We start from the raw sequence: 13,902 nt of genomic DNA, 5'->3' as shown, positions 1-13,902 counted from the left end.
TGTTTTCACCTTGCAAGCCTCTAAGGCCTAATTCATACTTTTATCCCCAGCACTCAGCCTAATGCCAGAGATATCACAAACAATTACATTACATACCCTGTCATAGTCTTCTTTCTCTGCCCACTAGAACATGCACATTTAGTAAAGACATTTTCTATTTAGTCCAACAAGTAACTTCAGAATATTCAGTACAGTTATTTGCAATAGCTAGATTACAGAAAACTGTCCTAAACTGATTAATTTTAATATTGCAGTTTGACTAATATTATTTTAGAATATAGCAATAATGATCAACCTCAAAAGGCTTTTTATTTTAATGTTACATACAACTGAAGCTGTATTTTACTTTGAAGTGTTTATTGTATATTTGTATTAACTATTTTCTATTATTTGCTCATCTAACAACTCTCATCCTGAATTCATTCATTTTGGTCATCTATCTAGTTTATTACAATGTTGTAACACATAAAACTTTGAAAAATATAAGAAACTCTCCCTACTTCTTCAATTTAGAAAACTTGATTTTATCAATGTGCCTGAACTCATTGTTTATTTGAGATCTTTCTTCTTTTTTGATGTAGGCATTTATGGCTATAGGTTTCCCTCTCAGGAGTGCTTTTGCTGCACCCCCTAAGGAATGCAGGAAAGATATTGGCCAAAAAAATAACATTATTATTAAAACTACTCTCTGACAAGAGACACAATAAAGTGAATGATAAATTGGTTAAAAAGAGGTTTTCAACACATAAAATCAACAAAGGAATATACTATGAATATATAAAGAATGCCCGTGAATCAATAAGAACAAGACATGGAATTCAACATAGCAATAAACAAGTGAACAATGTCAACAGGCAAAAGACATTTCTAACACTTTTCACAAATTAGGGAAACTAAAATATTCAATAAAAGTGAATGTCAAAAAATGAGAGAATGAAAAAAGGTATAAGGAAAAATTATAATCCTAACAAGACTCCAATTTTCATGCACTAATTAAGCAAAAAATATAAGTGTGTAAAAAATGTATTATTTGGTATGTGAATACCACAGAAACTCCAACCTACTGCTATCAGAGAATGAACAATAAAGTCTCTTTGAAAAACATTTATTACTTGATAAATTTGAATGTGCATATACACTACAACCTGGCAATTCTATTTCTAGGTGTATACAAAAAAAGAAACTCATGGGCATGTACCACAGTATGCAATAGAAATACCACGATTCTGTACCATCAATTCTAGATGTGATGAACTCAAACACAAGTATTTTTTTAAAAAAAAGGATTACCAAAGAACATATTGTGAGTTAAAATACAAATGGTAACAATAATGTTCTCACTGAAAAATATTTAATTTTGAGTAAGAATTTAAAATAAATCTGTTAAAATAATATTTATTTATTTTTATCTGGATACAAATGTCTGTTTTCCAAATTTGAAAAATATGACTTTTGGCATATATTCTAAAATTTTCAGATGTTCTTCAGTTAATTTTTGTAATTATTAATACTTGTAATTTTCCATATCTGCTTTTAAACAATAAATATTTCTTTTAATATTACCAGATCAGCCTTAAAATTTTGTTCTTTACACCTTTTTTTTCTTTCTTTTCTTTTTCAGAGACGGTTTCACTCCTGTTGCCCAGGCTGTTGCAATGGCACAATATCTGCTAACCACAACTTCCTCCTCCCCAGTTCAAGCGATTATCCTGCCTCAAGACTCCCAAGTAGCTGGGATTGCAGGCATGCGCCACCATGCCCGGTTAATTTTTTATTTATAGTAGAGACAGGGTTTCTCCATGTTGGTCAGGCTGGTCTCCAACTCCAGACCTGAGGTGATCCGCCCGCCTCGGCCTCCCAAAGTACTGGGATTACAGTGGTGAGCCACTGAGCCCGGCCATATTCTTTACATCTTTTATAAACTTACTAAATTTTGTTCTTTTGTTCCCATTGCCTGTGACAGTTATACATAAGAAACTCCATGTTGAATAAATATTGAGTAAACCAGTTCTTCCTCTGTTTTAATTCCTTCTAAACTTTCCTAGGAAGTTGAAATTCAAGGCACCCATATTGATTTAATGAGTTCAGAATCCCTAGATTGGCAGTTCTCAAGACTTCGATTCTTGACCTAGCTGAGATATTAACTTGAAGAGCTTCTTAGAATAAATCCATTTCTAATGTCTCTTAGCTACCTATGCAATCTAAAGGATGATTAATAATCATGGCAAATTTTGAATTCACAATGCTCAAGATAAATTATTTAAATAGTATATTTTCTGCTTACCATACACATGTAAGATTTATATAATACATTTGCATATACACTTATTATTCAACAAATGTCAAGCTAATAATAATTATGAAACTAGTGCAGTGTGGGTAGTACATTGTAGATGCAATTCATTTCAAGGCAAGATCTCTGACAAATAATACAATTTGATCAAGGAAAAATGGAAAATAAATCAGAAAGATTTCAGTTAAAAAAGCCAAATGTTTAAGTAACAAAATGTTTCTGTATCACAATAGAACTTTTCAGGCACAAATTAATTAGATATCTGTATAATTAACATGAAATATAAATTCATCTTTCTAGGTAGCAATAAGTCAATGTATTTTTTTTTCTGGAAAAAACACAAACATGAAATTTTGATATACTGGTTAAATTCAATTGTATTATGATTCATTTTATGTACTAATAAAATAAGTCAAGATAGATAATCTTAATGATCAGAGTTGACAAAAAAATGGCAAACAGACCATAATTAATGAATTTCCTATTTAGCCTTCTCTGGTATTGGCATTATTCCAGACTAGTTTGCTAACATTAAGCAGCATCTTAATACATGTATTTTGTTTCACTGTAGAACTATGTATTTATTCATTGTAGTTGAGCCTAAATTAAACACTGCAAGAAATTTCGTTTAGAGAACCACACGAGATGCTATAATTTTATCTATGGGTAAAGAAGTATGCAATTAATTTTAGTGGGCATTAATTCTCCATTTCTGCTGTTACGTGAAAGTCCATATATATGACAGTCCACATGGTTTGAATGTCTTCTCTGCTCATACCCATCCCAATTGTTATAACATTGAACGATTCATTTCTATAAATGACAATTTTGAAGAAAAAATTAACATGTTGGTATTACAATTTGATTCTATCAAAATATTTCAAGGTACACTAGTCATTTAATTATACAATTGTGTACTTATTTAAAACAAACATTCTAGTAATAAGACACAGAGGGTTTAGGGGCTATTCTCTTCAGCCATAAAGACATATCATTTCTAAATTTGTGACCATTACAAAAAAATTACCAAGAGGATAGCATGAATAGATAAACATAATAATTTACTTGTTGAGCACTGAGGTATATGTCTATGTAATTCAGATGTAGTCATAATAATTTATAATATAATGGACATATCTATATGGCTAAGAAAAAATTCTTTTCCAAATTATTTAAGTTTATGAAAAAATGTGGATTTTAATTTCTATCAAGTAGTAAGCATACAAAATAGTTTCAAAAATTCCAAAAGCATAAATTCTTTTAATAATTTTCGTGCAGTCTTTAACAGATCTTCAAGCAGAAAAATGTAGAAATGTATTAAAGGATCATTTTTACTCCATCCACAATGCTGAAAATATACCACTCAAGCTGCTCTCAAAATACTAATTAAACAAAACAACCGGGGCTAGAGATTACAAAGAAAAATTGGAAAATTGCCCTGTCCTAGAAGTATTATATATTAAGAAATCCGGGCCGGGCGCGGTGGCTCATGCCTGTAATCCCAGCACTTTGGGAGGCCGAGGTGTGTGGATCACGAGATCAGGAGATCAAGACCATCCTGACTAACACGGTGAAACCCCGTCTCTATTAAAAATACAAAAAATTAGCTGGGCGTGGTGGCGGGCACCTGTAGTCCCAGCTACCTGGGAGGCTGAGGCAGGAGAACGGCGTGAACCCGGGAGGCAGAGCTTGCACTGAGCAGAGATCATGCCACTGCACTCCAGCCTGGGCGACAGCACGAGACTCCGTCTCAAAAAAAATAATAAATAAAATTAAAAAAAGAAATCCTCAAAGTTAGGTTATCTGTTGGTGTTTAGCTGTATAAAATTTCAAGTATAGTAAATTGTGTTCAAAACATCTATTTAAATTAATCTCTAGGAAGAATTTAAATGGTAAAACACTAATAATATTACTCAAAATAAGTTAGTGAAAGAGTACTATTAATTTATAAACTGTTACTATAAAATAATCCATCCCACTCTGCTTTATACTATAAAAGGTAAAATAGCCTCAAACAAGATTTATGAAAATATATTCATCTTAAATCGTGCCTTTTATCTACTTATTTATTTCTCCATCTGTCCACATATATTCTGTTGTTCATTATAAATAGCAATTTTATTTATACTGTATTCATCTTTATGTAATGAAACATATACTAAGTCATTTATCTAGATTACACTGAAAACATAGATCCAGATCCTACCTACTCTTTATCTATCTAGACATAAAATTATACTTATATAATAATGTTAAACATTCAAGTTAACTAATTTTCCAAGGAATCTAATTTATGACTTTGTGAGAAAAAATAAGAAAGCAATAATAAAATGCTTAATGATAGTGTATAAACTGATGGCTATTTTATAATTTTTGTCGTATTTATAATTTTGACATAACATTTAAAATTATATCTGTCACATGCTGCATTACTGAAATTGATATCTACTAGAGGGGAAAAACCCACATTTATTATTATTTTTGTCCTCCCACTTCTGCCAACCTGATTCTTGACATTTTCATTTGGGTGCTCTTGAATTAAAAATTTTAGACATAATTCTGAAAGATTAAATTGTTTTGGTGATACCAAGAGTACCTTGTAGGTATAATCAAAGTATCCTGCTTATTTTAATGATCAGAAGCAACAGAACATTCCCATCACAAACGGAACAATCACTTACTGCTGTAAGTAATATAATACTGGAACTCAATACGCAGAAGCAGTTTGCATGCCACTCACCCACTCCCATTCAACAAAGTGATATATTTTCAAATTTACTCTGTAATGCAGTGTTACTCATTAATTTAATCAGCTGCTATTCTTCATGGTTATAAATTCAAAACTATACAGAAATCAATTCTGAATGACAACCAGCTTTTCACCAAGAATGTTGCATAATCAAAACAAATTGGAAATAAGTGTTTAGTTTAATCAGAAAAAGGTATAGTTGACCCTCACAGAAGGAGGGATATCTACTATAGTAGTGTAGAATTTAGAATACTACAAATGGAGCCCCATTTTTTAGTTACAACCTGGAACCTCTGTTATGAATAATTCAAAAATTTATAAAAATGTGTGTCTTCTCCAGTTTGTAAGTGATCCAACTTGGCACATATGCTCAGTCTTTTATAGAATCATTGCTAGTGCTCTGAAAAATGTAATATAGAACTTACCACATCCCTCACATGCAGACATGCATGTGCATAAACATGGGAGTATTGGAATTCAGATACTTAAAATTATATTTTTATCAAAGTGAGATGAAAGACTTTCACAGAAGTCTCCAAGCATTTATATTTACAGCTAGCTTGTAGATGTCTTATAGTATTTTTAGGCTTTTTTATTGTGGTAAAATATAGCATAAAATTTACCATTTTTACCATTTTAAGTGTATAACTCATTGGCATTAAGTACATACACATAGTTGTATCACCATTCTCATAGTATTTTTTATCAACATTACATGAAAGAATATCTGAATAAAAATGGAGCCAACACTCCTTTAATCTACTGGTAACTGCAAATGTATTAATGGGCCAGCACTATTTTAACTATCCTTGTCAATCAATTATGAGGAATTCTGACATGCTTGTGCAACTTTTGGAAAAGCCAGACATACCTAAGAATTTTTAGTCCCCCTGACTAATTGTTTAAATAAGCATACTGATTTCTCGATATTATTCCAGAAGTATCTTGAATTATGCTTTCCTCTTAAAATCAGATGATTTATTTAAGTTTTGAGGCCTGGTGGAATGTTATAATCTGAGTAAGGATGATTTGTGCTTAATCTAGCAATCAAACGAACTTCATTAATAGTTTTGCTGTGACATTTGCCATATATTGCATGTGGGGAAGTTGTGTATGTGCGTGCACACCTGAGTGTGTGTTTGTTAATGTGGCTCTTTTTTAAAGATTGTGGTCAGTGCAATGGCAATCATGCTCCAATGCAGTAACATTATCTGGGTCAAGTGCTGGGTTTGGATGTCATCTTCTGCAAATGTGTACTTTTGTGATATTCAACATGTGTCACTTATTAAAGCTAGGCATGGCTTTGAACATCATTAATTTGATCTTAAGCAGTACCCAAAAGTCAATAAAACAAATGTTTCTTGGAACCATTAACATAGTAAAAATATATGAAAAATGTGACCCACCCTTAATTTACATACATTTAGTACAGTGACACAAAAATACTTGAAAAATCTTCAATAATTTCTGGATATTTTACAAATCCTATTAATTATCATTCTAAATATGAAAAGATAGAGAATATTTGTGCTTATTTTATATTTGAGAGTTTGTTTTTTACTTCATGCAAGCATTAAAATGAATTTTTTTAATTTCATGTCAGGATTTTATTTTTTAGTAAATTTATTTCTAATATCCCATTACTTCCCAGTATTTTATTTTGTAGTATTTTATGCATATTAACTTTATTATTTTCTTATGAATTTTGAGGATAAAACATGTTGTACTTACTATTATTGCAGATTTCAATTAAGGAACGGCTGATAATATTCAGACATTTTTAGTTACCTCTTCTATGACTACAATAAAGAATAGTCTACAAAGTAATTGTTGCTCATATAACCCACTGCTAATTTTTCCAGCAAATAAAGGGAATGCCTTTCTTGTCCACCTAATAGCATATAGCTTCTCATTTGTGTAGTACTGATGTTGATACAAGGGATAGATTGTTCTAAGTTCTGATTTTTCAGTGCAATATCATATCTTTGTTGTGTGGGCACCTCTTCTTCAAATGCTATTTTCAAGTACACTTATAGGCACTGAAAATTTTCTGCAGAATATGTATTCCGGTTCTAAGTTCTTTCCTTTCCTCAGTTTGTTTTCAGGCTAATTTACTTAAATTATTCTCCTAGATAATTTACTCTTGCATACACACATCTTATACAAATCAATGAAGTCTTTTTCAATGTTGTTGTATTGTTTTTATACATTTAACATCATAGTGTTTTCTGAAAGCAACTTAAAAACTAATAAGATGTCAGTATTATTGAAATCGACAAAAAGCTGATACATACACTCCAAAGTGTATATATATGGCATAAATTGGTTTCAATAGAATGAAAGTCTATTGAAGGTGGTAGGCAATTTTTTCACTCAGCAGTACATATAATGTAAAATATTATATTAATATCTAATGCAAAATCAAGGCTCCTTTTGGTGCAAGAAATTTATCTCAATAAGCTCCATTTTCCCAGGTCTTGGGTGATCAGAACATTGTTAAGTTCAAATTTGACTCAATCTTTGATTACAATTCAAACATTTAAAGAAAGCAATCGAAAAACCATAAATTCACACTGTGGAGAAAGGTATACTTTAGAGGAATTGAAATACTTCCTATTTCATGACACAATATAAAGATGCAAATAATGAAAAATGGATTACAGTTATTAATATCATACTTATTTCCTGATCTACAGTTATCATTGTACCCTTTCAATGAACTTGACGTGTGAGAGATATACTAGCATAGTGAATATAAGCTCTGGCTCTGAAGACAGATTGCCTGAATTTGAATGACACAAGTAAGATATAATCAGAGTACTTTCCAAATAGCGTTCCGTTAGGATAAAATACAAATAAAATGCCTGGAAATGTATACAGAACAGTCAAATTAATGACTAATTGAGATGTTTCAAAATTTCACATCAAAAACCAAACTCAGGCCATATTTCAAAATTATTGTCTTTGGCCATAAGATGTTTTCATTGCAGATTGCAGTCAATTCTTTTCTCATATGCCAATCAAATCTCTGGATTTGTTTGATAGCATAATGCTATTAAGAAGGCCTTCAAATTAAGAAAATAGGTACAAGCATTTCTATACATTATAAAATGTTATAGAAATATTTTTAAATAAGATAATCACAAATATCCAGATAATTTTTAAAAATATTTCTACTTGCTGCCAGTAAATTATACTACACACTTTTTTGGGGTACATGCATCCTACTTTGGAGACCACTGCACTAAACAGTACAATCTATAAAAAAAGGACATTGTATTAATACTCCTAGTAGAGTATCAGCTACATAGAGGCAATCAATAGACATTTGTTACAGAAATATAGAAATAAATGAATATGTACACACCAATGCAGACACATACTTTCTCTAGTAGCATAGTGTAATTATCCAGGAACAATACGGCAGAAATTAAATCCACAAATTCTGAAGCCATTTATGTCGGATTGTCCATCTAGAAATATGGATACATGGATATATAGCTATATACAAATACATGCACATACATAATTATTAATACAAGTGCTGGTAATGGGAAATAATTTGTTGCTGGGATCAACATGCAAATGTATAGTGTATCTTACTTGATATTTGTTACAATTTCTAAGTTTTATCCCAATGATTTAAAAATTATCTACCAGTGTTGTTAAAAAAAGAAATATATTTCATCTGGAAAGTTATTTTTCTAAATGATTCTATATTTTGAAAATAGAACTAAAAATGTATGAGATAATATGTGAAAATTTTGAGTATTTTATATACGTACATACATTTTTTTCTAGCCTTCTGAAATTCCAAAACTGACAGACTTGAATGTTTGTTTATGTTCGTCTGTTATTTCTGTCTGCTTCTGTCATTATCTAGTTATCATCTATTAATTATTCTTATTATAGGAAATTAAAGATACAGAAAAATAAATGCTATTAAAAATCCAAATAATTGTGAAATAAATTGCAGCTATCTTCTTATTAAACATTTACTACCATTTATGATACCATTCCTTGTATACTAAAATTATAAAAATATCGATAGGATGTTTAAGTTTACAACTAATGAAATCAATCAAGTAATTACTACACATTTTATACTACCAATAATTGTGACACTTCTCTACAGAATGCTTATTACATCTATTTCACTTACAATTTTTTGCCTTCCATATGAAATTCTCTCTTCCTTTGTTTTTCCACTTATTGTAATATTATACTGTCCTTGAAAATGACTTTCAACAGGCTCAAGCAAAAATAATATGTGTGATTCCATACCCTGATGACTAAGAAATTACCAGAGGTTTCATAAAGGGAGAATCATCATATCCTGTTACTACCCTGTTTAATTCAATCTGATGAATAAATAGATGAGTTCGTTTTGCCAATTTTTAATGAGGCATAGTTGCTAAAATAAAAATCAAATCACTTAGATTCCAATCTAATGTCAAAAACACAACTTTATTTTCACAGATAGTCTTCCTCTTGGTGAAAAGTATTGCTTAGACAATTCTTCCTTTTATGAACTGATTTGCAGAACTAGCAATTTTTTTAGCAGAAAATTAAGCAATATATTTTAACTCTTATTTGTAGGAATCTTTGTCACACTATTTGTTTCTTTTGATTTGCATGAAGGAATGTTAAAGAATTATAACGCAATATTTGGCAAACAAAACAGATCAGAGATATTTATAAGCTAGAGCTCAATAACCTATCATTAAGTGTGATTACTTTATGTTTTTCAAATATTTCCATACAAACTTTCTTTAATAGTTTATATTTTTAAATCAGTGAAATAAGTGTTTATCATATTATTCATAATCTGATATCATATATAATTTTGTGATATAAAATAGTTAAGAACCTACAAAATATACTTCCCTAGGGATGCTCACACACTTATTTTGAGAAATGTATATTTGATTTACAATTGGATGTATTTTGTTACCTATAGATTTAATCATAAATTGTTTTTAAGGGTATAATGTGAAACACATTTTTGCAAATAATTTATTTAGTTTGAATTATATAATTAACTGACTTCTCTGCTGTATTTATTCTTCTTTGTAAAATATGTTTATAGTCTATCATTATTATAAGAATTGTTATAAATAACGATAATTTATTGTGGTTGTGATGAGATCACAACCTAAGTCAAAATTAGTCTGAACCACTCATAAGCATGTATAACTTCTGGCTAGATACTTAGAGTTTTTCATCCATAAAATGGAGGTAATAACTGTACCCACCTGCTTTAAAATCATGTTTTTTATTATAAACATATTTACATAAAAATACTAACTTAGAAGAAATGTGATATAGAGGCATGATATTAACTTGCAAGCATCCATTTGAAGGATATCATTAATTTTATTCTTAGCCTTACAGTAATTGTTTCTAGCTTCCTTTATTGCCATTAATAATGTTGACTTCCTTTCTTCTCCACTTCAAAAGTCAGTACAATATTTTCTCAACATAAATACCCTTAAAATGATCCAATTCTATTCATATAACTTGAAGCAGTCTAGACTATACAGTAACCTTAAAAAAACACACAAAAATATGTCTTCTATTTTTAAATAAAAGCTTCTAACTACATTATAGTTGTTATCTTGATCAGATTATATATGCATAAATACATGCATAAATCTATATAATATTTATCACTATATATCTTTACACGTAAATTTGGTGTTGGAACAAATTAATGAAGACCGAAAGAATAAGAAACCTCTTTACAAATCACACCAAACGTCTGCTCACAGGCTCCTTGCTGATTACTTTTTGTTCACACATCACAAGGTGTTTTTCTCCTCCCTGCTCCCTCCCATTCCCTGCAGCAAAGCCAGCAATTAGTAGAAAATAAGTTTAGATGCATCCGCATCTTACCAAAAAATATATTAAAAGGCCCCCGATCTTTTTATCTTCTTATACTCTCCCTGAAATTAGTTTCTGAAAAGATGGAAGCATAACTTACACATTATAAACTGTCTTAGCTGAAAACCAATCTCTATAAACGTGTACTGCAAAGCCCAGTGATTAGAAAATGGGCAGCTTTGCTTATCTTATTCCTTTAAATGGAAGAAACAATAATATATTCCAGAAAATGGTGGTGCACTTCTAGGTATAAACAGCCTGCAAATAATTCTTTATTTAATGTGAGAAGTTTTATTAATCTTAATAGTATATAGAAGGTTTCAGAACTAGGAATTTTTAAAAGCTGGGAGAAAATTGCAACATGAATTGATACAGTCGTCCCTAGGTTTACAGGGGGTTTGGTTCCAGGAATCCCAGCGATACCAAAATCCGAGGATGCTAACGTTCCATGGTAGGCCCTGTGAAACCTATGGATATGGAGACCTAACTGTATTAGAAAAATATTTTAACACCTGAATTTTACCAAAATCATATCTTTTATTAAATAATCTTTTTTTCCTATCTTGGTGCAATATATAATGTACATTAAACATGCTACTTCGTGCGTATATAATCTAATTGACTAGCTTCTGTTCAATTACCTGTAATAAGGTGAAAAACAAACCTGAAAATGTCTTTGCTGAAAACTTTTTTGGTAAGTTAATAAATAGGCAATAATGCCAATTTTAATTAAGTATCCAGATGTTTATACCAAAAATAGAAAAACAAAGAAATGAAAGAGCAAATTATTTTTGCAAATTAAACCATGATATTTGGAGGCAATATTGAATGATTTATAAACGTGTTTCCTAATTCTAATCTCAATAACTGGGCATAGCCATATTTTCTAGGATATGAGAATGCATATTATTCATTACTTGTGAGATAAACTAAACACAATGGAATAAATATAAATATACATATGTTAAAGTCTTAGTATTCTTGTCCATACTCTAGTGTCCACAAGACATGTATAAATTAAAGACAACATAGATGACCTTGGATAAGATGTAACCTCTAAACACTAAGTTTTCTCATTTTTAAAATGGCAATTATAATAATATCAAATTAAATAGTTGCTGCAATGTTTGACATATTTTATGTAAATTTTTATCAATGGACCTAACAAAGAATAAGTGCTCAATATGTGAGAAATTAATTTAAAGTTTGTTGATTTATTTTAATGATTTGAAAATATGATTTAGAGAAGATTAATCAAAGGTGTTTAGAATATTTATAAAACTGTATTAAATAATTGACTTAACCACAAAATTATTAATGTAGAATTGATTCCTAAGGCATCATAATCACAATATAAGTAAAAATTCTAAACAGTGATGAAAGTTCCATATATCCAGAAATGACTTAAGAGTACCTATACCATATTTTAAAATAAAATAATTGGTAAAAGTTATTTTATTTATAAATCCAAGCTCTCAATTGTTAAATCTTCGATATAATTTTTTGTAAAAACACCTTGCATTTGTTCTGCTATTCATAAAGCTGTTTACTTTTATGTCTTTTTATTTTTCAAATTACATGATGTTTAAACAAATTTATTGTCTCAATCATTTGCTTTGTTATTCAACACAATGGTTTTAAAAAACAGCATACATTGTAAATTATTGAATACTATGAATGCATTATTATACCTAATTTCTACATAAACTAAGACATTAAAGCATCTTTGAAAAGGAAATTGGCCAAGTTAACTAAATTTTCTCATGAAGCTTAACCTAGAACTAGATTTATTGTGCTTACAAAATAGTCTTACATTTCCACCCATTCTGTAGATGTTAGATTCTATTAAATTTTAAAATTATGTCCTTTAACTATAACTACAGTTTTTTCAAGTTTTTTTAATTTATCTTCTTTCTTTTTTATAATGAAACAAATGTATAGCTAATTTTCTAAAAGATTTATTGTAAGTGATGGGAGGGTAAGGAGTGGAGAGAAGAGAACCTAAGAAAATGATGAGAGGAGGACCTCATCTCTCATACTAAATATGAATGTGTGACATCCAAACATTCTTCAGGAACATGTCCACTGAAGCCAAACCACATGTATTTTAGCCTAGAACAGCAAGAGTCATCTGAGGGCACTTAGCAAAGCTAGATTCCTGCACCATCCCACAGATATTAAGATTTAGAACCTATGAAAAGAGGTCCATGATGCTACATTTTCTAAACTTTCAGGTGATATTTATGACCAATTAGTTTTGGAATCTGTGCTCCGTAGAACTTTATTTTCCTGCATAGAATAAACTAGGGAATCTACTTATAGGCTATTTATGGGTACTAAATTTTATGAACAATTCCCTGACCTTTATTTCCCTAGACTCCCGAAAGCACCTATTCCCTATTTATTTGGCAGCTCTTACGTTCTGTCTGATAAACACATGTCCATTTATTAGCTTTGGAAGGGAAGAACGATAATTCTTCTATAAGATGGAAATAATCGTAAAAATAATAGCTTTTATTATATGCCAGACACTGAAGCAGACACTTCCCTTATATTATTTAATCTTTACAACAATGCCATTCACACATAGGCATCTTAGAGCATTTCAGTAGTAATTACATATAATATGTATAATATTTCAAGATAACATTTGGTGTACAGCAGGGACTAAAGTTAATTGTAGTTTTTGCTATTTACAGACAAAGAAACAGAAACAAAAAGAGGTTAAATAACTGACTCAGGTTACACAGCTAGAATTCAAACTCATGTCTCTCTAGTTCCAAATAGAAAGGGGAATGGTGGGAAGCAAAGGAAGGTGTGAAACACGTGAAAACTCTGGAAAACCCAGAAAATATTGAAAAAAAAGTAAAATTCTACATTTTTCCTAAATCTAGTCATGTTTCTCAGCAAAAAAGTAAATAAATAAATAACTCACTGAATGATGCATAAAATAGGTTTATTGGAAAGGTGGAGGACA

The 13,902-nt window shown here is 30.2% G+C and overlaps 1 protein-coding gene across 1 annotated transcript in view; it reads right to left on the bottom strand.

The window, feature by feature from the left end:
* Positions 1–13,902, bottom strand: part of ZNF804A (zinc finger protein 804A) — a 340,964-nt gene that overhangs the window by 309,561 nt on the left and 17,501 nt on the right. The gene's annotated exons all lie outside the window — the stretch shown is intronic.

Source organism: Homo sapiens, chromosome 2 (assembly GCF_000001405.40).
Source record: "Homo sapiens chromosome 2, GRCh38.p14 Primary Assembly".
In the NCBI taxonomy this organism is placed as follows: Eukaryota; Metazoa; Chordata; class Mammalia; order Primates; family Hominidae; genus Homo; species Homo sapiens.
This window is presented reverse-complemented; position numbering and strand designations above follow the sequence as displayed.